Source organism: Homo sapiens, chromosome 14, assembly GCF_000001405.40.
Source record: "Homo sapiens chromosome 14, GRCh38.p14 Primary Assembly".
Taxonomy (NCBI): domain Eukaryota; kingdom Metazoa; phylum Chordata; class Mammalia; order Primates; family Hominidae; genus Homo; species Homo sapiens.
The window spans coordinates 68,354,677-68,380,105 of NC_000014.9; the positions used below are offsets into that span (position 1 = coordinate 68,354,677).

A 25,429-nucleotide genomic window follows, 5' to 3' on the forward strand; every position below is an offset into this window, starting at 1 on the left:
TGGGCAACAAAGCAAAATCTGTCTCTACAAAAGATTTATTTTTTAATTTTTTTTTTTTAATTATTAAGAATCCAAAGAGTTTATACATTTAGGTGGGAAAGGTAACCCTTGGGAAGCCCTGGGCTAGCCTCTCGGCTTGCTCATGATTCAAGTAGCAAAAAGAAGTAGTGGACTCAGGACAGAATTTTGACGTGGGAGCCCCATTTCAAGCTCTGAGGTCTGAAATGCCAAGTTTAAGCCTCTTGGCCTCATTGTGACTCGATTTCCCTTTCTGTGAAATGAGAAGATAATCCCAGTATTAGGGTACTATCCGAGTACCTTCAGGCTTTTTAGGAAGAACTCTAGTGAGTAAGCTCTCTGGCTGTAGAGGGGACCGTGATGCACAGTAAAAAGAACCCCATCTTGTCACTGGAGGGATATAGGCAGCCGCCCAATGGGAGCTCCCATACTGTAGAGATGGCACTCTTGCTTTGGTGGGACTAGTACAGATGTATTTTTTATGTCCCATTTCTTATGTTGCCTATTTTTTGGAGACATATTTGTTTGTTAACTCTTTGAGTTTCATAAAGAAAACATTAATACAAATTTTATTGAGTGGTAGGTTAGCTCCAATATCCTCAAAATAGATTGAGCATTTTAGAATTCACCTTAATGTTACCTGGAATGCAAAAAGATTTGCCTAAAACGTTTAGCTCCTCATTTTGTTACTGGCTTCATTCTGATTTTGGAAACAACAGAAAGTAAAGTGGAACTGGGGTTTTGGGTCTATTAGATTCTCCAATTTAATCTCGCCCATCTATTCCTGATATTAATAAACTCTTTCTAATATCAGTTGGCCATGGTTGTCATTCTGGTAAATACCTCCCTGGAACCGGACTGAATAAAATTCATGAGACTTGCTGGTCACAGCTGGAGATTGGTTCAGTGGTTTGGGTTTTTTTTTCTACCAAAGTGAAAATAGAATTATTGTTATTATTGTTTTCTAGTTTTAAAATGACTAAAAGTACAAAGGAAAAATGGAAAAGTCAATTTAAATCCTACTGCTGAGAGAAATAACATTTTGGTGAGCAACTCTCCAGATCACTCTCAGAATGTGCATATTATACTTCCATGTGCCATTGTTAGAAAACAAGAGTGTACTTTCTCATTGTGGACAACTCTATGTCCATAAATAATGACACCATTAATTATAGTGACAGTATATAATATTCCATTAAACAGCTGTGCTATTATCCATTTATGCATTTCCCAATTATTATTCATTTAGGTTTTTTTATATTGCTTACTATCATTTAAAAATTGCAGTAAACATTCTTTTACATCCAGATTTCCAAATTTGTCTAATTATCTCCCAGGTTATATAGCCATATCTTGAGGATATTGTAGACATGGTTCCAGACCATTGCAATAAAGTAAATATTGCAATAAAGTGAAATACATTTTTTGGTTTCCCAGTGCATATAAAAGTTATGTTGGCCGGGCGCGGTGGCTCACGCCTGTAATCCCAGCACTTTGGGAGGCCGAGGTGGGCGGATCACAAGGTCAGGAGATCGAGACTATCCTGGCTAACAGGGTGAAACCCCGTCTCTACTAAATAAATACAAAAAAATTAGCCGGGTGCAGTGGCGGGCGCCTGTGGTCCCAGCTACTCCGGAGGCTGAGGCGGGAGAATGGCGTGAACCCAGGAGGCGGAGCTTGCAGTGAGCCGAGGTTGTGTCACTGCACCCCAACCTGGGCGACAGAGCGAGACTCCGTCTCAAAAAAAAAAAAAAAAAAAAAGTTATGTTTACACTCTACTCTATTAAAAGTGCAATAGTATTATATTTTTTAAAAACAATATAGATTACCTAAATTTAAAATACTTAATTGCTAAAAAAAAAAATGCTAGGGATCATCGGAGCCTTCAGTGAGTTATAATCTTGCTGGTGAAGGGTCTTGCCTTAGTGTTGAAGGTTGCTGACTGTTCAGGGGGTGGTTGCTGAAGGTTGGAGTGGCTGTAGCAATTTCTTAAAAAATGACAATAGGCCGGGCGCGGTGGCTCACGCCTGTAATCCCAGCACTTTGGGAGGCCGAGGCGGGCGGATCACGAGGTCAGGAGATCGAGACCATCCCGGCTAAAACGGTGAAACCCCGTCTCTACTAAAAATACAAAAAAAATTAGCCGGGCGCGGTGGCGGGCGCCTGTAGTCCCAGCTACTTGGGAGGCTGAGGCAGGAGAATGGCATGAACCCGGGAGGCGGAGCTTGCAGTGAGCCGAGATCCCGCCACTGCACTCCAGCCTGGGCGACAGAGCGAGACTCCGTCTCAAAAAAAAAAAAAAAAAAAAATGACAATAATGAAGTTTGCCTTATGGATTGACTCTTATGAAAGATTGCTCTGTAGCATGTCATGCTGTTTGATAACATTTTATCCACGGTAGAACTTCTTTCAAAATTGGAGTCAATCCTTTCAAACCCTGCCACTGCTTTGTCAACTAAGTTTCTGTGATATTCTAAATCCCTTGTTGTCATTTCAACATTGTTCATAGCATCCTCACCAGTAGATTCCATCTCAAGAGACCACTTTCTTTGCTTATCCAAAAGAAGCAACTCCTCATCATGTTTTGTCATGAGATTGCAGCAATTCAGTCACATATTCGGGCTCCATTTCTAATTCTAATTCTCTTGCTATTTCCGCCACATCTGCAGTAACTTCTTCCAATGAAGTCTTGAACCCCTCAAAGTCATTCATGAAGGTTAGAATCTTATTCCAAGCTCCTATTAAGGATGGTATTTTGACCTCCTCCTATGAATCACGAATCTTCTGAATGGCATCTAGAATGCTGAATCCTTTCTAGAAGATTTTCAACTTACTTTGCCCAGATCCATAAGAGGAATCACTATCTATGGCAGCTATAGCCTTACAAATTGTATTTCTTAAATAATAAGTCTTAAAAGTCAAAATTACTCCTTGATCCATGGGCCGCAGCAGGCATGAAAACAACATTAACCTTGTACATCTTCATCAGAGCTCTTCAGTGACCAGCTACATTGTCAGTGAGTAGTACTATTTTGAAAGAGATCTCTTTTTTTCTGAGCAGTAAGTCTCAATGGTGGGCTTAAAATATTCAGTAAACCATGCTACAAACAGATGTGCTGCCATCCATTCCTTGTTGTTCCATTTCTAGAGCACAGACAGCCATTTTCAACATGCCTTCCTCACTAAGCTTAATCATTTCTAGCTTTAAAGTGAGAGATATGTGACTCTTCCTTTCACTTGAACACTTAGAGGCCATTGTAGGGTTAATTGGCCTAATTTCAATGTTCTTGGCCTAATTTCAATGTTGTCGTGTCTCAGGAAATAGAGAGGCCTGAGAAGAGGAAAAGATGGGGAAGGGCTGGTTGTTGGAAAGTCAGAATACACACATTTATTAAGTTTGCTGTCTTACAGAGGTGTGGTTGATGGTGCCCAAAACAATTACAAGAGTAACATAAAAGATCACTGATCATAGATCACCATAACAGATATAATTATAATGAAAAAGTCTGAAATAGTGCGAGAATGACCAAAACATGACACAGACATGAAGCAAGCACATGCTGTTGGAAAAAGGGTGTTGAAAGACTTGTCAACGCGCTTGCCACAAACGTTCAATTTGTAGAAAAACATAGCATCTGCAAAGTGCAATACAGCAACACACAATAAAGCTAGACATGCCTGTACTCCTGAAGTGATGTTGATGATCGATGGGTCCGAGGCATGTTTCAGTTTTTGTATGTATTGCAAAACTACCTGTCAGGAATGTATCAGTTTGCATGACCATCAGCAGTGTTTGTGAATTATTGGTCCCCCACACTATTGCCTACACTGCAGCTAATTTTTTTTCTCAATCTTTGTGAGTCTCTTGAGTGAAACAATATCTTACTGTCATTTATGTTTGCTTTACTTTGATTACTAGTGAGATGAAGCATCTTTTTGTATGTTTATTGCCCACTTGTATAGTATTTCTCCTATTATGAAACAGAATAGGTCCTGTCCAAAAACTCTAGGAAGGTTATGGTCTGGTTGGTCCATGGAATGTAGGATCTGGACTGTAAATTATTCTTCAGTCAGATCGTGTGATATAAAAGCCTATATCACACAATGTGTGATGGTAAAGAAATTATTAAAAATTATTTGAAAAATATTTTAAGAATAGCTTGTTTTATGATTATATCATGGAGTTTGAGTATCCTTAACAAAGGAAGAAATTCACCATGCTTATTGGAGACATGTAATCCTAGAGAAGGTGGGACTGGGCCATGCCCCTCTGCTGCAGTACCAGCACAGAATGACAGAATTGTTGGAAACCTCTCCTAATTCATACCACCCCACAGAGGAGCAGCTGCCACAGTGGAGCACACCCCACCTGCTTGGAGGTGCCATAGGCCAGCCTCTCTGAGTTTTATGATGCATCTGAAATGGAGTTTTACTGCATCCTCCCACGACCTTACGAAAAACCACGGGGGAGGAAAGAAAAACAGAACCCACCAAGAGGAGCAAGCAGACCTGTCCGAGGGTGGGGAATTGGCTACTCCATAAGGCAGCAGGAGAGTAAACTACAAAAGACATAAAGCACACCTTGCTTTAATCCCTTCCATCCGCCCAGAGCCCCCAGAAAGCTCATAAAGTCTCCCTTTCTGGGTGATTGGATTCCTTTAGCTCAGGGGCAAGTAGGGCATTTTTTTGGTTTTGTTTTGGAAGAGGGCTGGGTAAAGGAGAATGGTAATCACTGGGGTTGGAGGAGGGAGAATGAAAACGGGGGCAATCACTGGGGTTGGGGGAGTCCCTTCTCTTCTTGCTTCGAGGTAGTGAGTGGGAAACGCAAACAGCTGCTGCCTGAAATCACAGCGCGTGGGTACTGGGCAGCCAGACCAGATCAGCAGCCATTAAGCAGGGCCCACAGTTCCTATGGCCGTTACCTCTCTCAGAAGCCAGGCAGAGCTGTGAGTTCTTTCACCTTTTGAGGGCTCCTCTTGGCTACCTCAAAGGAATCATTTGGAATGCTGCTGGCAAAAACGTTGCTGAAAGTTGTGTGTTGTAGGGGGGCAGTGTTTTTTCTCTCTCTAAAAAGAGTGGTGGTGGTTCTTTGCCAGGATTTAGAAGCCAGAACTGTCTGTCCTTTTTGTTTGAAATAGAGACTTTAGAGACTAGTCTTTTCGTTTACTGAAAGAAGGAGAAAGAAAGGAAAAAAAATTTGTCTACTTTGCCTTTGGTCTGGGTACTTTCCACTTGTTTGCTTTTAACCTTTCTCAGTGTTTGCAGGGTGCAGGGAAACGGCCTTGTCAGCCTGGGCTGGGCTCCTTAAGTCTTGAACAACAAACACTTAAAATAATCAAAATGTTATATTTGGCAGTTAAAAGAAGAATCTCCTAAAACTATGTCTAGTCTTATTTGTTTCTGAACTCCTGGTAGAGGCGGGGAGACCATGTTCTCCATTCTGTGGCCTAGCCACTCTTCCGGGCCTTCTCTTGTTCCTCTTCACTCCCTCTTCCCCAGATGTACTCCTAGACTGAGCTGCTTCCCAGCTCAGAGCCCACCACGTGCCTCTGCAGCTTCTGTGCCTTTGCAGATGCCGCTCCCTCTCCTGGAATGCCTTCTCCCCACCCTTCCCTGGCTGAAGTCCTCCTGGCCATAAAAGGCTACCCTAAGTGCACTGAGCTTCCTTGCTAGGCACATCTTATCATCGTTATTTCTGTAATTCTTCCTTTCATTGGCTGACATCCATGACATCAGGGCCCAACCTTAGGTGGCTAGCACAATGCCTGTGGCAGTAGTGGCAGCAGTAGTCTTCGTGTTACCAGCAGCAGCAGTAATGACTCTTACTGGGCATGTGCCATGTACTAGGTCTTTTTCATACTCATCTCTAATCCTCCCAACAACTCTACATCGTATATGATATTGTCTCCTTTTTAGAGATGAGGAAATTGGGACTTAGGTGGGGTGGAAAGATGTGATACCTTTCCTCACTCATCATGAGGGTCACAGCTGACACCCCTTTAACAAAAGACAGGTTGATGATAAAAGCATAACAAATGTATTTCATCAAAGTTTTACATGACAAGGGAGTCTTCAGAAATGTAGACCCAAAGGCCCAGGGAAGATGGTCTGTTTCTATGCTTTGGTCTGAGGAAGAATGGGCAGCTGTGTAGAAATGTGATTGGACAAAAAAGGGTCTGATCTAATGATGACAGACTGAGGGGGTAGACAGAGCAAGGCCTGTCTGTTCAGATTCTTCTTGGCCTCCCTATAGCATTCCTTCCTCCAGGTAGGGGGTAGGACCCCTCTGAAATGAAGGGTTTTAGGGAGAAGGGAGAGAATGACCTTTCTAGGTTTTATGGATTGCTTTGGGAGAGAGGGGTTCTAGATTCTATGACCTGTCTTGAGGAAGAGGAATTCTGGTTTCTGTGATTCCCTTTAGGGGAGATGGGAGACAAGGAGGGCAGGAGAAGGTCAGAGAAAGACTTTGCTTCTGAGGCAGCTCTGAGGCTACCCAATATCCTTTAGTTCAGAGTACTCAGCCTGCCAAAGCACCATAGTTTGGGATACTGTTTTCTGCGCCCTGGCACTTACAAGTTAAGCAACTCACCCAGGGTCATAGAGCTAACAAATGGTTGGACCAAAGTTAGAAGCCAGGTCTTACTCATTTCCACCCTGTTTCAAGGACTCTGATTAGATGCTCAATAAGTACCTACTGAGTGAATGAGCGGCCTTGAAATTGTTTTCTGAGGCTGGGGAACTCTTGCCAGGAATTTCAAGAGCCACTGCTTTTACACTTGGCCACTTAACTTTGCTCCCTAGAGCTTTAGTTTCTCTTCTTCTACACCCAATATCATCATGTCTACTGTTTTCTTCCTGAGTCATATCCTCTCATTATGTTTTAGCTATGGGGGGTAAGGATGGAGAAAGGGGAGAGTCTCCTGGTGCTTGTTTCATGTATCTTATTCCCTTGACCTGGTCCTTGTTCCCTTGAAGTCTTTTGTTTGTCTGTTTGTTTTTGAGACAGGGTCTCACTCTGTCACCCAGGCTGGAGTATGGCGGCACGATCTCAGCTCACTGCAACCTCCATGTCCCAGGTTCGAGAGATTCTTCTGCCTCAGCCTCCCGAGTAGCTGGGATTACAGGCACCTGCCACCACATTCAGCTAATTTTTGTATTTTTAGTAGAGATAGGGTTTTACCATGTTAGCCAGGCTGGTCTCAAACTCCTGACCTCAAGCGATCCTCCCACCTCAGCCTCCCAAAGTGCTAGGATTACAGGCATGAACCACTGCACCTGGCCCCTTGAAGTCTTTATAGTCGCCCCAAAGAAATTAGGCTAAACTTAAGAAGTCACTGCTTCTGTAGATCTAAGGTGGCTGAATATCGGCCACAGCATACAGTTCAAACTAATGCAGTGTATCTATTAAAGGTTATAAGAAGATACCTACAAACTTCCCTCATGGGATTGTTGTGAGAATTAAATACATATAATACATATAAAGGACCTCTAGTGCCTAACACATTGTGAGCTCTCAAAAAAATATAAATGTTAGCTCTTGTCATTATTTTTGTTAATCCTTGACTGGGGTACTAAAATTCCTAAAAGAGAGTAAGCCAAGAAAAATATGTTAATTATTACAGCAACTAATATTTATTACTATGCATCAAGCCATTTTTGTAAGGATTTTTCATATATTAATTCATTATTAACTAATTTTCATAGCAATCTGATGATGTAAGTGTTAGCCCCATTTTACAGATAAGAAGGTGAGGACAGAGAGGCGAAGTTGGGGAGCTTGGGATCAAGTTTCTGGTTCTAGAACCTACGTTCTTTCATAACCATCACTGCTCTGAAAAAGAGTAAGCACCAGACCTGAAAGAAACATAACAGAGGCCGGGCGCAGTGGCTCACACCTGTAATCCCAACACTTTGGGAGGCCAAGGTGGGCGGATCACGAGATCAGGAGATCGAGACCATCCTGGCTAACAGGGTGAAACCCCGTCTCTACTAAAAATACAAAAAATTAGCCGGGCATGGTGGTGGGCGCCTGTAGTCCCAGCTACTCAGGAGGCTGAGGCAAGAGAATTGCTTGAACCCAGGAGGCAGAGGTTGCAGTGAGCTGAGATTGTGCCGCTGCACTCCAGCCTGGGTGACAGAGTGAGATTCCGTCTCAAAAAAAAAATTAAAAAAAAAAAGAAACGAACAGAAATGTTGTTAGCTCCTTCTCACTTTTATCTCTAGTTTGAATGAGTGTGTTTGTGAAAGGCAAATGCCTCTGGGGTTCTTGCACAGTCCTGGGCACCACTGGGAGGAGAGAGGGCAACCTAGAGACATTTGTGTTCCTGGTAAACAACTGAAAATAGGCGGAGCCTTTGTGCACTGAACCCAGCTACTTTCAAATCGCAGTACTTCCCAATTGCAAACTTGGTGCAAAAAAACCTACATTGCCACAGTTGAGACTTTCATGAGGAAAGATTTTGGGTACAAGATAGTTTTTCATACCGCTTTGCTTACCCCTGAGACTGCAAAGTACCATGTCTCCTTGTTTTATAGAAGCCAAAACAAATTCTATCGATAAACAGAATTTTTGAAACTCTGGTATTTTCAGAAATTTGTACTGTGCATAAAGTAATGGTTTGGTGAATTAACATAGGTGATTAAACAATAAAGTGATGCATACCCATTTCCATAGAAAATATATGCATATATAAAAGGAATTTTACAGATAAACTGTATGATATATCTGTTAATATATCATGTTTTATTTTCAGTGTTTTTGTGTATTCTCAGTGTCCGCCAGTATGGAGACAGGCTCATCTCCAGGTGTGCAGGCTCTGAGTGAAGGGGGCCTCCTCATTGGAGTGTGCAGGGGCCTCCTCATTGGAGTGTGCAGGGCTCTCCTGCGGCGGCGCCCACTCTGTGTCCTTCTTCCCTGTTTTTGTTTGCCACCTTGTGGTTAACATAGCTCTGTGGCTCAAGGAGGAGGGTTGGGCCGGTATCATCTCTGAAGGTAAAATGCATACATGCGATGCTGTAACACAGTCTTTCTCCCGGCGGGGAGTGGGAGTGTGTGTGCACACGCGTGTGTGGGTGCAGTGAAGGTGGAGTTGCCCACTTAGTGAGACTCAGAGTCTACCCTCAACCACTGTGCTTCTGTGTGCTCCCGTGTAGGCTGGAAGTCGTATCAGCCGCTCCATTGCACAGAGATTGCAGAGAAGGGGCCACATCGGTCAGTGTTAGCGTCCACAGGAGGAAGTTGTGTGGTGGGAAGGCCGCTTCTGGCTGGACTGCAGGCTTGTTTGCCCACACGCGCCCCAGTGAGAGCGAGGCCTCCACGGGCTTCCTTCTCCAGTGCGGGGAGTGTGTGGCGAAGGAAGTATCTGCTGCTGAGCTCAGCTTTGCTTCGCCATGTTCCTTCCCGATCCGCTCATCCTAACCCTCTCTCCTTCCGCCTCCATCCTCCCTGCTCTCCGATTGCCCCAGTGTGTGTGTCCCCTTCCCCAGCCACCCCTCTGATCCCTGACTACCCTCTTCTCCCTCCCTCCCTCTGCGCCCACTCCTCATCGCGGGCCTCAGGGGAGCCCTGTCTCCACTCAAGACACCCGTGAAACAGAGGGAGACACTAGCAGTCAGCGGGCACTTTGTGGGGAGGGCCAATTTAGAGGACAGATTGACCAGGGCGAGCAGCAGGATATCTAGAAAGACGCTTTGCTTCTAAGGAGCGGGAGCCTAATCCCGTTACAGGCTGGAGGGAGACTCCTGGGGCCGGCAAGCCTCCTTCCCGCTGTGCCTGGAGGGATATCATTGGAGGACCGCCGGGCGCGGTGGAGGGCTCCACTCGCCAGCAGCCCCCTCCCCCAGCCCCTTCCACTCTCTTTTCTTTTGCAGTGACACATACTGCAGTGCCTCTGAGGTCATTTGTTTCCCACAGCCTCACAGGGCGCTGTGGCAACAAGGGGGACAATGATCTCTCACAGGAATGATGGGAGGCCTTGTTTTGCCTTAAATAAGCCCCTTCAAGGGAGCAGTAAGGTCTGTTGTGTGTGTGGTTTGTTTTTTCAGAAAATCCTCTTGCACGTAGTTCCAGTGTGAAGTACTCTGGCAACTTCAATTGAAGACATAAAGAATCTTATGTGTGTGTGTGAGGGTTTAATTTTATTTTTATTGCTGCTTTGAGACCAGGATTGTGTTTTCCCTTCTGCCAGTTACCCTTTTCCCGCTCAAGCTCCCTGGACCTCCGCATTCTTTCAATAGTTTTAGGGCAGGAATTGGCAGGTGTTAGGGGCAGAGAGACGCCCATGTCTGGGTGCTGGCTTCTGACTGCCCTTAGCTTTGGTGAGGGAGTGAAGGTTAGCGTGGCAGGAATGTAGTGCTCCTACACATTTCTCATCCTATCCTGGGTCTGAGGAAAGCACAGGGCACTGGGTGGCTAGGGCTGGGATTCACAACAAAGTGACAGTGGAGGCTGAGGGAGACGTACTTTATGGGCCACCTCGGAATAGATCATCAGCTTTAACGCCAGAGCTTCAGAGGCATGTGCAGAAAGAAAAAGGCCTGTAAGTAGAATAAAGAGGAGGCAGGTTCTGTGTCTGATTCGGCTGTCCGGTGAGGAAAGATGTGAAGTGATCTCTACCCACACCCTGGTAACACCACTGGAAGACAAAGAACTGTCCTGTTTGTCTTACTGCTCTGTCCTATGTTTTAAAGTCTTCAAGCTGCTGAAGGCAGTCCCACCTCAGAGCTTACATGCGTAAACATTATTATCTGTAAAGGCTTCCTATTTGATGAATCATGGTGTATCATACAATCTAGATATTTCATCTGGAGAAACTGAGATGAGGCAGATTAAAGTCTTTTCCAAAACCACATGAGGAATTAATTTCAAAGCTTGAGATTAAAACCTACATCTTGTAGTTTCAGATTATTAACTTACCAGTGTGATCTACAAGTTCTTTCTCCATGTTCTAAAAAACAAATTTTTTAAGGCAATCAAGACATTTTCATTCTCTCATGTGAGCAGTATGTATCAGAAAAATTCATCTGTATAAACTGTATGGCAGTCTAAATTATATTTTTAACCTGTCTTTTCTTTTTTTACTTTTTATAAATCATATCTTCCACTGTTTACAAATTTTGTTATGTCTTTCACATATCAGACTCAAAAACAGTTGGCTTTATGATTGGGCCACTAGAAGAAATATAATATTTTTTCACTTACCTTTTCATTTCCTGACTTTTTTTTAGTGATAATCTGAATATATTTGTGAAATATTTAGGCAGGAAGGTGAGTTTTCCAGATGTTTCTGTTGATTATTGCAAACACAGAGCAATTCAAAGACTAGTGTCGCTTTTTGATAAATTAAAAATACTTTTTTTGATAACTAGTTATTCTTGACTTTAATAAACATTCCTAAGATTAATTCTTCCCTTAACAACTTTAGTGTAATTTTAATTTTTCACAAATCCTGAAGTGGGAGTACTGGAATTTTGGAGAAATAAATTAACATGTTGCCTTATTTCTCTGGACCATCTGTTAATGCTTATTCTCAACTAAAGTACTGTTCATCAGCTTCAAGTAACAAACATACCATAGACAAATAGCCTATGTCTGTGACGGTGATAAGACATTGGCCAAATCATCCTCTCTCTGACCATGACAAAAGTGTACCAGTCGTAGCTAAAGCAAGACTGAATCTATTTGGTATTCATTGTAAAGGAAACAACAACAACAAAAATAACTAATAAAGGTCTGAGACAAGATGATGGATGGCAAAAGAACCCCCTATGGTCATAAATAAGCTAACTTTGGAAATGTTTGACTTAAGGAAGTACAGACTATGCTTAGTCTGCCTCGTGTCCCTGGACTAAAGCAGCCTTGAAGGCTCATCTGAACATTTCCCCAGGGGTTTCTTGCCTATTGACAAATCCCACCACATCTTCCAGATGCACAGAAGAAAGTTCCGTTAAATCCAAAATGGTAACCAAAAATGTTGAATAGCAAGAAACTGGCAGGGGTGGCTTTGGGAACTGGTAAATAAATAACAGGCTTGTTGTCCCACACCCTAGTTTAATGCTCTCAAGAGGTTCTTATGTTGCTCGCATTAGTGGGCATGTAAATGAAACCCCTGTTGGCCTTGGCAGATATTGGCCTCTTCCGTGACCTTGTTTGACTGAAACAAAAAGTCATTGGTGGAACAAAAATTCAGAGCTCTGAACTTGGTTGAAAGAAAAGGGCAATTCTCTGAATTGGGTAATTGGATCACCCTCCCAAGTGCCCTAGGGCTTATATCAAACATATAAGAAGGGGATTAATAACTTCAGTGTATAAATGAGCTTCAGGCAGCTTCCAACTGTAACATTTCACTCTCAGGAGCTTTAGGACATAACAGATTTTTTTCAGAGCATTTTGAAGTGCTCTTTATAAAATGCAGGAAGGGACTACAGACTACTGTGGAATCTTTGTAATTGTACATGGTCCAGTCTGACAGGCAGGCAACCCGAAAGCCTCTTCAAAATGGCCACTTAATAAAACTGTTCATGAAATATACCATTTTGGGACTGAAAGATGATGACAGTGATATGTTTTCAAACTGTACTTGATATTCCCTTCCTTAGTCATAATTTTATGATCTAGACTAAATTACATGTATCATTGAGTGTGAGGATTCCAAGACTTGAGACAGACTTACGTATTTATGTGTGAGTTGTAAGGGACCATTGGAAAAGCTGAGAATTTTAAAATTCATTTATATTAATTAATTTGTTCACTCAGTATTTATTCAATGCCTACTATATATCAGACTTGAGGATATAAAAAAGTATAAAGTAGAGCAAGGCTGACAGACATTTGAAAGGCAGGTTCATGAGGATTGAAGGAACATGTGGGAAGGGAGCCATTACTTCTTAGGAGTGGGGAAAATCCAGAGGAGACTAGAGGAGATAACGAGAGATGAGTCGACAGCACAGGAAAATAAAGAAGAGTATTCCAGGCGGAGGATACAACACTTGAAATAGTTACCCAGAAAAGCTGGCCTGGTGATTAATCGGCCCAGATAAAAGAGGTAGGCTAACACTGTTATTCGTCTTTTAAAGGAGAAGGATCAAGAAGCAGTTCTGTTGGGTCCTGAGGAAGTGGGATTATTAGTGATGGACACAAAGTGCTGGTGTCACAGCTGTGGTAGAAAAAGGGAAACAAGAGAAAGCTTCTGAAAAAAATGTTTTGACAACTATTTTTATGGCTGTGGACATCCTGAGACCTCTGACAATCACATAGAAAAGAGAGCCCATAGGGAACATTTTAGAATTGATTCTTATCTTAATAGCTATCTTTTTGGCCTGTCTGGTTGCCAAAAAGAATTAGCAGAATTCTGCTGTTTATGTATTGCTGAATCAGTTTACAGGTGATGTTTTATTACTAGGGAAATATTGCTAAAGCTAGGTAGAGGTGCTTCTAAGAACTAAAGCACCAGAAACCTAATTGGGAAAGGAATTAACTTTAGTCATGTACATATTTTCATTTTTCTCCTTTAATTTTTATATTAACAGAAACCCTGTGAGGCAGGTGTTTTACCTACATTTTCACAAATGAGCACACAGCCTCGAACAAGTTAATTCCTCAGAATCCCACAGCCAGTGCATGCTAAGGCCCAAGTCCCCTTCATCCTCCATTCTCCCACCGGTCATAGCTAAGTCTTCAAGCTAATGTTCACCTGCCAGAGTAAAGGCAGAATATTTGAATTCTCTTGTATTTGTTTTAGTTTAGTTATTGACTATGTTTTTCTTCCTATAAAGTAAATATGTTTCATTCTTTCTGCACAGGTTTTCCTATAATGCCTGGGTGCTTCTAGCTAGAGAGGGCAAATTGATTTCATCTTCCATTCAACTCCAGAAGGTCTATAGTGGCCGCTTGGACTGCTGTAATGGAGTTGCTCAGCAGCCGCTCCCATATGCTCTATGATGGGGCAGTGGTGGTACAAGTGCTGCATCCCTGCTACCGAGGCTGCTGCTTTAGTATCTTTACTTCACTCTTAAAGTGGGGAATGAGAGAAATTGTCTAAAGTCCTAACACAAGACAGCCATACCTACTTCCCAAAGTAGTAAACACTCTGCTGCTGCATGTAGAATGAAATAGAGCAGTGAAATTATAAAGGAGATTTGCAGTCTAATAATTGGGAGGGAAAATGAAGTATAAGGCTAAATGAAGTAGACTACAAACACCTGAAGCATGACTACAAAATCAAGTTGACATTTTGTGGCTCATTTTCAGGGTAGCTGCCGGAATCTGGTTATGGTCGTTGTTTTTATTTTTTAGGGTTTTCCCCCATCTGTGTACAGTGAGATAGCAACCACAAAAAAACTAACAGCCTTCCTGAGTCTCTTGGCTGTAGAGTACCCAGCTCTTTTCCCTGAAGCTTGCCCTGAAGAGGCCTGGTGATACATCCCTCTTGGGAGATGTGACATGGTTCCATATTGACATTACCCACTGGGCTCATTGCTTGAGTCTCAAGGTTGTTTATGTATTTGATGTTTCATTTAAAAATAAAAGTTACTTACGGCAAAAATAGCCTAGTGCCAGTGGGTTTGGCTATTGTAAAATTTAGAAACCCATTTAGGAAACCACCATCAGGATCTTGTTGGTGCTGTATCAGCTTGGGCATATTGCCCTTCAGCACACCGGCTCTTGCACAGATTGCGTCCACTGAGTTGAATTATGGAAACCTTCCGTGAGAAAATGAGAGCACTCAGGAAGTAGTATTGGTGATCCACAAAGCATTGCTGTGTCCTCTAAGGTTCTTTCCTGGTCTCATACCATGGTTTCTTCCTGGGTAAAAAGTGAAACTGGGGTTCTGCCTTTCTCAAGGGAAAACGTGTTTGCTGCTTGGCTTTGGAATTTTGGGGCAACTCAGTCAGTGACATTTCTCTTTCACAAACTCCTCCTGTTCTTTCAAATAGGTGCCATATCTTTCACTTTCCCTATCGATACTTCATATGTTATGCCTGGCTGCTAGGTTTCATTCCAGAGCCTCTTGTGTTTAAGTAATGAATGGACTAATCATAATGACTAGCTCAGTACAGGTTGCTGAGTTGGAGACCATGGCCTAGTCATTTCTCTGATCACACAGAAGTCATTTCTGGACAAAAAGTGCTACATACTATATATCTATATCTGTCTATATATTTTTTTCTTGATCTTTCTTCTATTTTGTGCTGCAAAAACAAACTTCGAGGGGATGATTCTCTCACAGGATATGGAAATGGCCTTGGACAATGTCCAGGGTTAGTGGCACAGCTGCTGTTTCCTGCAAGGGACATCTCAAATCCAGAAGGGAAAAAAGACAAAGTTAAATATATAGCAGGAGGATAATGACTGAACCTATTAACCCATTTATGCCTAGTGTTCCATTAGTGGAACACTAAGCTTGTGGGAGTTATTTATATCCTCATGCTTAAGCTCATCACCAAGGTCTGATTTTTCACATAAAAATTTTGCAACCTCTGGCATAAATGGGTTAACAAGAAGGAAGGGATTTGCCTGTTACAAGATCTGTCTGTAATCACATATAGCCATTGGCAGAAATTACAGTTTACATTTAGAAGACATGTTTAAAACTCTTTACCAAAGGGCAACTGATCCAATAATAATGATAGCAACAACAATAACATCTATTTATGGCACCTAATAATTTTAAAGTTCCTTTGTGTACGTAGTTTTATATTCACAACAACCTAGTAAGGCCTGTAAGTTGACTGGAGAGGGCTAGGGTATGTAAAACTAGGTAAAGAACTTGGATTTTATCCTAAGCATAATGCAAAGTTTTCAGCCAGGGATGGACATGACTTGACTGACAGTTTAGGAAGATTACTTGGCCTGCTCTGTAGGAGTATAGACTGTAAGGGGGCCACATGAAAGCCAGGAGACAAGTCAGCAAACATAACACTAATCCAGGAGAGAGATTATGGTGGCTCAGACTGGGGGGTGTGGTATAGGGGATGGCAAGTGGTCAGATTCAAGATAAATATGAAGACATTCCTTACAAAATCTGCAAACAGATTGAATGTGAAGTGTATTTTAAAAAATGAAGAATTGGCCGGGCGCAGTGGCTCATGCCTGTAATCCCAGCACTTTGGGAGGCTGAGGCGAGCAGATCACGAGGTCAGGAGTTCGACCCAATATGGTGAAACCCCATCTCTACTAAAAATACAAAAAAAAATTAGCCGGACGTGGTGGCACACACCTGTAGTCCCAGCTGCTCAGGAAGTGGAGGCTGGAGAATCACTTGAACCTGGGAGGTGGAGGCTGCAGTGAGCCAAGACTGTGCTGCTGCACTCCAGCCTGGGCAACAGAGCAAGACTCTGTCTCAAAAAAAAAAAAAAAAAAAGAAAAAAAGAAAAGAAAATTAAAAAAAAAGAATTATCTGTGTATTTTTTATCTTAAACAACTGAGAATGGTGTCATTTTTTCCATTCCTAGAGTTATTTAGGCCAAAAAAATCTAGAATGTTGAAGAGAACAGATTGGGGTGGGAGGTGCAGGTTAGGGGATTAAGAGTTCTGTCCTAGAGGGCCGGGTGTGGTGGCTTACGCCTGTAATCCCAGCACTTTGGGAGGCTGAGGTAGGCAGATCACAAGGTCAAGAGATGGAGACCATCCTGGCCAACGTGGTGAAACCCCGTCTCTACTAAAAATACCAAAAATTAGCTGGGCGTGGTGGTGCATGCCTGTAGTCCTAGCTACTTGGGAGGCTGAGGCAGAAGAATTGCTTGAACGCGGGAGGCGGAGGTTGCAGTGAGCTGAGATCACGCCACTGCATTTCAGCCTGGCGACACAATGAGACTCCATCTGAAGAAAAAAAAAAGGGGTTCTGTCCTAGAATAGTTGCATTTGAGATATGTAAGTGACCGGGCGTGGTGGCTTCCAGCACTTTGGGAGGCTGAGGCAGCAGGATTGCTTAAGCCTAGGAATTCAAGACCAGTTACCTGGGCAACAAACACAGTGAGACCCTGTCTCTACAAAAAAAATAAACAAAATTAACCAGGCCTGGTGGTGTGCACCTGTAGTCCCAGCTACTTGGGGGGCTGAGGTGGGAGAATGGCTTGGGCCTGGAAGGCCAAGGCTACAGTGAGCCCTGATTGTGCCACTGCACTCCAACCTAGGCCATAGTGTGAGACCCTGTCTCAAAAAATAAATAAATAAGAAGAGAAAGATATGCAAGTGGACAATGACAAAGCAGCTGAATAAATGAGTCTGAGTCTAGAGCTCAGGAGAATGGGCTGAGCTGTAGTGAGAATATGGCAGAGATTGATCCTGGGGATACATCAACATTTAGAATAGAAGAGAAACCTGCAAAGGAGACTGGCAGGGAGGAGAGGATCAGGTGGGAAGAAATCCATGAGAGTGTGCTTTTTCTGGAAGCCAAGTGAAGCTAATATTTCAAGAAGCAAGGAGTTAGGTCCAGTGCTGCTAAGAGGTCCAATAAGATGAGGACTGAGAATTGACCCTTGGATTTGGCAGATACAATCAATGGTGACCTTGACAAGAGTGATTTCAGTAGAGTGTAGGGGACATAAGCCTGCCTGGGGTAGGTTAAAGAGAAAAACAAAGAGCATGTTCAATTCTTTAAGGTTTTTCACTACAAATGGAAACAGTGAAATGGAGTGGTAGCTGGGGAAGTCAAAGGAGGTTTTTTTTTTAAGGTGGGTGTTTTTTATTTCGCATTTTGATATTGATGTACATAATGCAGCAAAAAGAGAACATGTAGTAATGCTGGAGAGGAAAGGATAGGTAACCATTGGTAAAAGACCTCAAAGGTATTAGAAGGGATTGAGATGCTCGTCCAAGTGTATGGGCTGGCCTTAGGCTGAAGCAAGACTGCTTCAAGAGATACAAAAGCAAATTCATTACCCTAAGAATGGAGTACATCACAGCAGGATTCCTGGAGAGAAACAGAAAAGAGGGTCATTAAAAACTTATGTCACCACTTTAAAGAGGGAAGAAAGTTCTGTTTGGCTCTTTTGGGGACTCCAGAAGAAAAGTAAAGGTATACTCATAAGCCCAACTTTTTAACTTTCTAGTTACCAGAACACCAAACAAGGATCTTAGAATATCAGATTTTCAATTAACCCTAGAAAACTAACAGCATTTGAGTAGAATTCAAATATATGTGAGAGAACATAATACATAAATACCATCTGGGAAGTTCTCTAATCAACATTCTCCTTCCCTAGCACTCACTGTTGGATCTGTAGTACATGCATATGTGAGTGAAGAGCTCTTTCACAAATATGAAAGAAGCATAGTATGGATGTAGGGTGATGATTTACTTAGTGTGGTAAGTGTCTCCAAGCAACACAGTAAGGGACAGAAAAAGCTGGGCCAGCCTGCCTCTGGGAGAGACATGCCAAGCTTTTCTATCTCTGTGAATCTCACAAGTAAATGAAAATAAGTGCAAGTAGTACTATAGTAATTAAATCAAACTATCTTCTTTGAGAGTGGCTTTGTATGTGTGTCCCCATTATTTGCTAATTTACTATTTCCCACTGCTTACTGATTACCCTGAGTATGTTGCATTTATTGTCCTATTTAATCCTCTAAACTCTATCATTGCCATTTTACAGATGAAAACATAGAGGCCAGAGAGGTTTAAATGGCTTGTTCAAGGCCACATATCTAGGAAGTGGGAGAGTCAAGATTCTAAGTTTAATGCCCATCAATGATAGACTGGATAAAGAAAATGTGGCACATATACACTATGGAGTACTATGCAGCCCTAAAAAAGTGAGTTTATGTCCTTTTCAGGGACATGGATGAAGCTGGAAACCATCATTCTCAGCAAACTAACGCAGGAACAGAAAACCAAACACTGCATGTTCTCAGTCATAAGTGGGATTTAATGATGAGAACACATGGACACAGGGAGGGGAACTTCATACACCGGGGCCTGTTGGTGGGTGGGGGGCAAGGGCAAGGGGAGCATTAGGACAAATACCTAATTCATGCAGGGCTTAAAACCTAGATGATGGGTTGATGGGTGCAGCAAACCACCATGGCACAAGTATACCTATGTAAGAAACCTGCACATTCTACACGTGTATCCCATAACTTAAAGTATAATAAATAAGAATTTTTAAAAAAGATTTTAAGTTCAGTCTTTGTTTCCAAAGCCAGAGATCTTTCCACTATACCACACTGCCTCTTATGTAGTCAGTGATAATAATAGCTTGGTCATTTGCATTTGTGAAGCACCTTTTATTTGAAGAGCTGAAACTCTGTAAGCCTTATCTTTGTAATCTGGAGAGAGGAAGAAAAGAACCGACATTTATTGGGCACCTTATATTTGTGTGTGATGTAATTTTAAGCACTTTCATACCAGACATGTTAATTATCTTCATTTTAAAGATGAGGAAATGAAACTCAACAAAGAAATTAAGTAAATTGCCCAATATCACACAACTCCCATATAGTCAATCCTGGCACTTTCCCTCAGCAGATTCTAAGCACCGTTGGAGCAGAGAGCAAGTCTGTTTTTAATCATTCTGATTTTCCTAGTGCCTAGGACAGGGTCTCACTCTGGCACATAATAGGTGCTCAGAAAAAAAATGATTGAATGAATAATGAGCAAATGTGCTGTAAGCTGAACTGGAATGCATTGAGTCTTGTGTTGTACTTCCTGGTATCTTCCAGTGGATGTCAACATGATATAATGAGAAGATTCTGAGAAGGAATCAGTGAAGGCATGCATGTTCCTGACTGTGAAACTTTTGCTCTTCTCAGAGCTATACAACCTAGGTGATAGACTTCCTTTTCTTTCATTGGGAAAACTGAGGCAAAGTTTCCTTGGCAAAGATTTTGCAAGTCAGTGGACAATTTGTGGCACAACTGAAATCTTGAGATTCTCACCTTTATAGCCCTAACCACTTAACAACCCTGTGGTCCTGGTGGGGTTATAGCTTTCCATAAATCTGGTACTTAATCATTTAAAGAGATGGCAATTTATCTTAAATACACGCCTCATTATAGATGTGTCACACTTAGCACAGATGGTCTCAGAAGTTTTTCCTGGCTTCCCATACCCTAACAGTATCTAGTATGTTAATGTCAATATTAGCTTTACTGTTTTAGGTAACTTTGGTATGCTTCTCATTAGCTGAAACCGTAAAGAGCTCAGTTTTACCTGCGCTGAGGGATCACTAAATTCCTATTGGCATCTGAATGCACAGTCCCATGTCGAAAGTGAGGTCATGTTTCTCCTGGATTATGCCCGTATCTGATGAGCCTCGGCTGGCGTGAATCCGAGACAATGAAATAATCACACCCATTAGCTCACCAGGGCCCTATTAAGATGTGGCCTGGCTTTCCATCCATTTCTCCTGCTTGGAAAAACTGACACAGTCATGGTTTGTAAAGGTTAGTGCAGATGGAACTGCTTCAACAACCAAAACTTAGCGTTACCCTATTTAAACTTGGGAAGGGTCTGCTGCTTAATCTTAAGAAATAGCACTTCAGGAGCCAGGGTGTGAGGATGTCCTTTAATCTCTTTGTATGTGATGGTAAAGCTGAATTTTCCTAACACCCTCCTTCCCCGCTCTCAGCTTCAGTGGCTGGGGTGGGTGAGGTGGGGGAGCTCTGGAGTTGTGGTTTCCATACTTTCTACTTTTTATTCTATTTTTCTTTAGAGATCCCAGGTTTTGAAGGCTTGAGTCTAGTAAACAAACTGTAATGGTTAAATCACGATTTTATTTTCTCGTTGACACCTAGTGTGTGTTATATGCAGCGTCCTCTGCCTCATGTCATTCTCCAATATGCTTTCTCAGGGCTACTTTCCCAGACCCTATGCCTTCTTATGGGTTGTAGCTAACAGTTACACTTCCAGAGTATGCCGTCCCTCACCCACAGAGCTCTTCTCACAACTGTAACTAACTGATTATTTGTGTAACTGTTTGCATGTTTAGGCTGTAAGGATGCAGACCATGTCTGTCTTGCTCACAGCTGTTTCTCTAGTGCCTAAGTCTTTGCTTGATACATAGTGGGCACTTGGTAAACATTTGTTGAATGCATTAATGAATCAGCTTATTTAATTCTAGTGAAAAATATAAAGAAATATCCCCCTTATATTGGCTTGGGGAGCCTTATTCTGGATATATTTGATAGGATTTTTGAAATGTTGTCAACAACTTGAATGAAAATCACCAAGTTTAAAATGAAGGTTCACTCTGGGCAGGAGAGAAGATGATGCTATTGGAGAAGGATTACACAAGAGGCTTCTGGAATATTGATAATATTCTATTTATTAAGCTGGAGGACTCCTAGGGACCCAGGGGCCTCAGACTTACTCCTGAACTGGAGGGACATGCCAAATAAGCCACCTGCTATTTATTTCACGCACACCCAAGGCAAAGCTGTTGGGGCCACTTAAGGATTTTGTAAAATGTGAGGGTGTTATTAAAGTAGGCTTATTATTTTACAGCTCTTATGATTGTTCACCTAACTACCTTGAACAATACTGCAAGTATTTTTCTCTGCTCACATATTTGGAGACATGCAGAGCCACTTCAAACAAACCATCCTGACTTCCCATTTGTATCTACGACCTCATGAACCCATCTCAACCCCCCAAACCACACACTGAAACTAAGCCAAATTAAAAACAAAAAACAACCCACCACCCAGCAGTATTTAGTTGAGCACCTACTGTTTGCTTTGTATTATAAGCTGTAATTACAACAGCTTGAGTCTTGTCCTCAGCTTCCTGAAATCTCCCAGTGGATGGCATCATGGAAGAATGAGAAAGTTATCCAAGAATGAATGGTCTGATGTCAAGGAAGCTTTTCAGCCTTTCCTAATGGTCTGATGCCCTCTGTGTGGGTTACAATCTTTGGAAGTATAAGATTTCTTGTAAAAGTCACAGCACCTGCCAACATAGTTGGGCAGGGACCCAAGTGGGGTGACTTGTACCGCATTCCTCCCTGGTATTCAGAGACCACATAGTACCAGAAGCTTGCTAGGCCCAGCTCCTGGGGACTGTCAGAGGAACAGGCCCAGGCAGTCTTCTCCTCAGATTGCAATCAAAAGTTGCTTGATAAATCAGTAAGATTGAAAATATTCTTGGCAGTTTACATAGGCAATGGTAAGAACATGTTTTTTTGTAGTTACAATGAGTACATTATACAAGGGCCGGAAGTGACCAAAATCATTGATTGGCTAATTAGACATAACTGAAGGGTCATAATGCTTCAGTCGTTATGTGGGAATATTCATAAAGCACTTGAGTTCAGCTCCAATAAAGAGGAGAAATGTACCCAGGGAAATTGCAGAGTAAAAGTCTGGGAATGTAGATAGTATAGGATGTTACAGGTCTGAAATGGAAGGGTTTACTATATTATTGAGTTTTGCAAACAGATTCTTGGAAAACAGATTCCTCAAGTCTTTCCCAGCTTTCAGATGGGATATGAAACTAGAGGCTTTAGCCTTTACTTGTGGTTGTCTAAAAATCCACCCTATTTTTCTTAGGAAGGGAAGCAGTTGCCTTAACACCCTGGCCAGATTCCCAACATGTACAGGGTGGCCCATTTAAAACAGGCCTGTGGATGCTTCAGAGTGAGCGAAGGGGTTTGTTGTAAAGCACCATGTGTATGTGGGTGTTTAATGAATATGAGCTGATTAAATTGGCCACCCTGAATTATAACCTCATACCTTCTCTAGTTCCTCTCCAGTTTTTAGCTCAGGACCATATTCTTCCTACTTTCTGCTCAAACTTGTTAGGGAGAAACGTTCCCACTATTAAAACTGCCAGTGTTTTCCACCCAGTGTTTCTTTGTTTCAACGATGAGCAGAAGAATCCAGCCTTGGAAATACCTTTCTTTCAAATTGCTTGTCCAGCTGCAATGACGTCTGCATCAGCCACACCCACATCACTTCCCCTTCGAACCTTCTCGCCTCCATCTGCTTCCCTGTCTCTGGTGTAGGACAATACCAGTATCTGTCTGGAGCAGATAGTGAACTCTGCCACAAACAGAGGAGGGCTTGTGTGAAGAAGGAAAAAGCTCTGCTTTCGAAATCAAGCAGCCTGGGCTTGTGCCCCGTTTTTGCTAATAGCCATCTGTGTGGCTTAGGGAGTCACTGTCTTCACAGGCCCGAGTTCCTTCATCTGTAAAGGGAAGGAGCGAGACAAAATCAGCACTTCTCAAATTGGGAGCTGTAGATTCTTGAGGTCTGCAAGTTTAATGAGATTTTAAACTTTTTATGAAGTTTTTTTTTAAATCATAAAGACAATACTTTGCAATTAAAAGTCATTTAAAAAAATAAGTCTTAAGTTTGTTAAGCTGGTCATTCTGAAACTTAATCTTAGGTCTCCTAGAGATTTTTTAACAGTTTTGCAAGTCTCAATTTTTCCCCTTTAAAAGGACTCCACATATCACTCCAGTTTGAGAAACACTGAACTCTTTTCATCTACTCAGAAACTGAATCTAGCGGTAGGATAAAACATTAGCTTTAACTTTCTTATCCTTACCCTACTCAACCTAATTACTTTTGGCCCACTTCAATATGTTTAAGTCTTTTAGCACATGGGCTCCTTTTGTTTTCATAACTGAAGTATTTCCTGTTTTCAATCACTATATGTTAAATTATAAAAAGCATGTTTCTCCCAATAGCTCTTTCCCTTTCCCTTTAAGACTCAGATCATTTAATTTATTAGTGCCCAACCTGGTTAATTGAGACCACCTTCCTCTATTAATGTTTCTTTGTTGGTTGAAGTGAAGAGATATATGGTCTGTTCCCTAAGTACCCATGAAGGATTGGTTCAAGGACTCAGCCCCATACTAAAATCTTCAGATGCCCAAGTCCCTTATATAAAATCACATAATGTTTGCATATAACCTATGCACATCCTCCCATATACTTTAATCTCTAGATTACTTATAATACCTCATACAATGTAAATGCTATTTAAATAGTTATCATGCTGTATTTTAAATTTGTATTATTTTTATTGTTATATTGTTATTTTTCATTGCTTTTTTTTTTTCAAATATTTTCAATCCACATTGGTTGAATCTACAGATGGGGAAACCCTAGATATGGAGGGCTGACTATACTGCTTTTATCTGTGATCTCAAGATTGAATACTCACAGTAGTTTATGTATGCATTCTGCTTTCATAATTTGCAGAATGCTCTCATATACATTATCTCTTGATTTTCACTGCAGTCTTGTCTAATAAATGATGTAGGTAGCATGATCCCCATTTTACAGATGAGACACTCAGGCCCAGAAATTTTGCTTCATATCTTCTGATTCAGTCTACTTGTTCTCCCAACAATGCTTCTTCATCCAATTACAGCAACAAATACATACTAGGTACCTGTTATTTGCCATATGTGCTGCTTTATTGTTACTTGTTCCGGGAAATAACAAGTGGAGCTTCTCATTCAAGGATAAACTGATATTGCCAGGCCTTGCTCAGTCTGACATAAGTCTCATGCCATTATTTACTAAAATAGCTAGCTACTCTCACCCAGTCCGGTTCCTGGTACATAAAGGAACTCAATAAATATTTATTGGATGATTGAGTGAATGAATAAATCTAAAATAAATTATATCATTAATTAAAATTTATATATTGGAGATAATTTTTGCTAATAGATTTTTGCCAACATTTTTTCAGATTCCAAGTCAATAGGATTTACTCAGAGACTGCCAAGTGCTTTAAGGGGAAAACAGAGGGACTGCTGGGAGAAGGGGGTGCACTGGTAGACAAGTAGAGGAAATCCCCTTTCTGGCTTCATCCATCTTCCTGTCTATGATCGGTGTCCTAGGCCTTAGAGTGGACATGGAGAATGGTATCACTTTGTCTGCCTGCAGTTAACCAAAATACTTACTCCCACCATAGGGAGAAGAGAGGAATGACAGAGGTATGTGAAGATTAAGTAGAAAGACCGACAAATGTAATCACATTGGAAGGTAGAATGGAGGGTAGAAAAGTTGGTGGGAAGACAATTTCTGTGGTCAGGATACATCTGAATGGAAAGGGGAGAGAGATTTTGTCCATTCCTCCCATAGTATGGTTTGGCTACTTTCCCTCTACTTCCCAAGAGAATTATTAGTGACCAGGGACATCACATTTTAATCAAGGCAACTGTTGCTGGGCTGGTAAGCAAGGCTCCCATGGGTGTGGTGAAGTTAGCAGGGTGAAGAGTGAGGCTGCTAGTCACAAAGGGATCCACTCACCCTCTTCCGCTGTTGGCGGCTGCTGTGGTATCTATAAACATAGAGTGTGTACTCACATACTCATAAATGCTAGTTATTGTCATACGATTGCATTGTGTATAAAAGTAGATTGCCTGGAAAAAATGATTCCACTTCATTTTTATATACACATTGTTCCTGGAACCACTTCCTGAAATCCCAGGCTTTTATTTTGCTGTCATTCTCTTA

At 41.8% G+C, this 25,429-nt stretch overlaps 1 protein-coding gene across 12 annotated transcripts in view, besides 6 other annotated features; it reads left to right on the forward strand.

Annotated features, from left to right (window-relative positions):
• RAD51B (RAD51 paralog B) overlaps positions 1-25,429 on the forward strand; it is an 863,318-nt gene that overhangs the window by 534,898 nt on the left and 302,991 nt on the right. The window lies entirely within an intron of this gene.
• Positions 4,747-4,796: a silencer, noted in NCBI's record as "silent region_5867". NCBI's record gives its function as "represses an Ori minimal core promoter by ATAC-STARR-seq in GM12878 lymphoblastoid cells {active_cell/tissue: GM12878}" and the evidence as "EXISTENCE:reporter gene assay evidence [ECO:0000049][PMID:35858748]".
• Positions 9,327-9,854: an enhancer, noted in NCBI's record as "NANOG-H3K27ac-H3K4me1 hESC enhancer chr14:68830720-68831247 (GRCh37/hg19 assembly coordinates)". NCBI's record gives its function as "activates a minimal SCP1, AML or CMV promoter by ChIP-STARR-seq in naive H9 embryonic stem cells {active_cell/tissue: H9 hESC(naive)}" and the evidence as "EXISTENCE:reporter gene assay evidence [ECO:0000049][PMID:30033119]".
• Positions 9,855-10,383: an enhancer, noted in NCBI's record as "NANOG-H3K27ac-H3K4me1 hESC enhancer chr14:68831248-68831776 (GRCh37/hg19 assembly coordinates)". NCBI's record gives its function as "activates a minimal SCP1, AML or CMV promoter by ChIP-STARR-seq in naive H9 embryonic stem cells {active_cell/tissue: H9 hESC(naive)}" and the evidence as "EXISTENCE:reporter gene assay evidence [ECO:0000049][PMID:30033119]".
• Positions 14,531-14,630: an enhancer, noted in NCBI's record as "active region_8607". NCBI's record gives its function as "activates an Ori minimal core promoter by ATAC-STARR-seq in GM12878 lymphoblastoid cells {active_cell/tissue: GM12878}" and the evidence as "EXISTENCE:reporter gene assay evidence [ECO:0000049][PMID:35858748]".
• Positions 17,507-18,362: an enhancer, noted in NCBI's record as "OCT4-NANOG hESC enhancer chr14:68838900-68839755 (GRCh37/hg19 assembly coordinates)". NCBI's record gives its function as "activates a minimal SCP1, AML or CMV promoter by ChIP-STARR-seq in primed H9 embryonic stem cells {active_cell/tissue: H9 hESC(primed)}" and the evidence as "EXISTENCE:reporter gene assay evidence [ECO:0000049][PMID:30033119]".
• Positions 21,364-24,382: an enhancer, noted in NCBI's record as "VISTA enhancer hs1688". NCBI's record gives its function as "enhancer in: branchial arch[4/5]" and the evidence as "EXISTENCE:transgenic organism evidence [ECO:0001131][PMID:17130149]".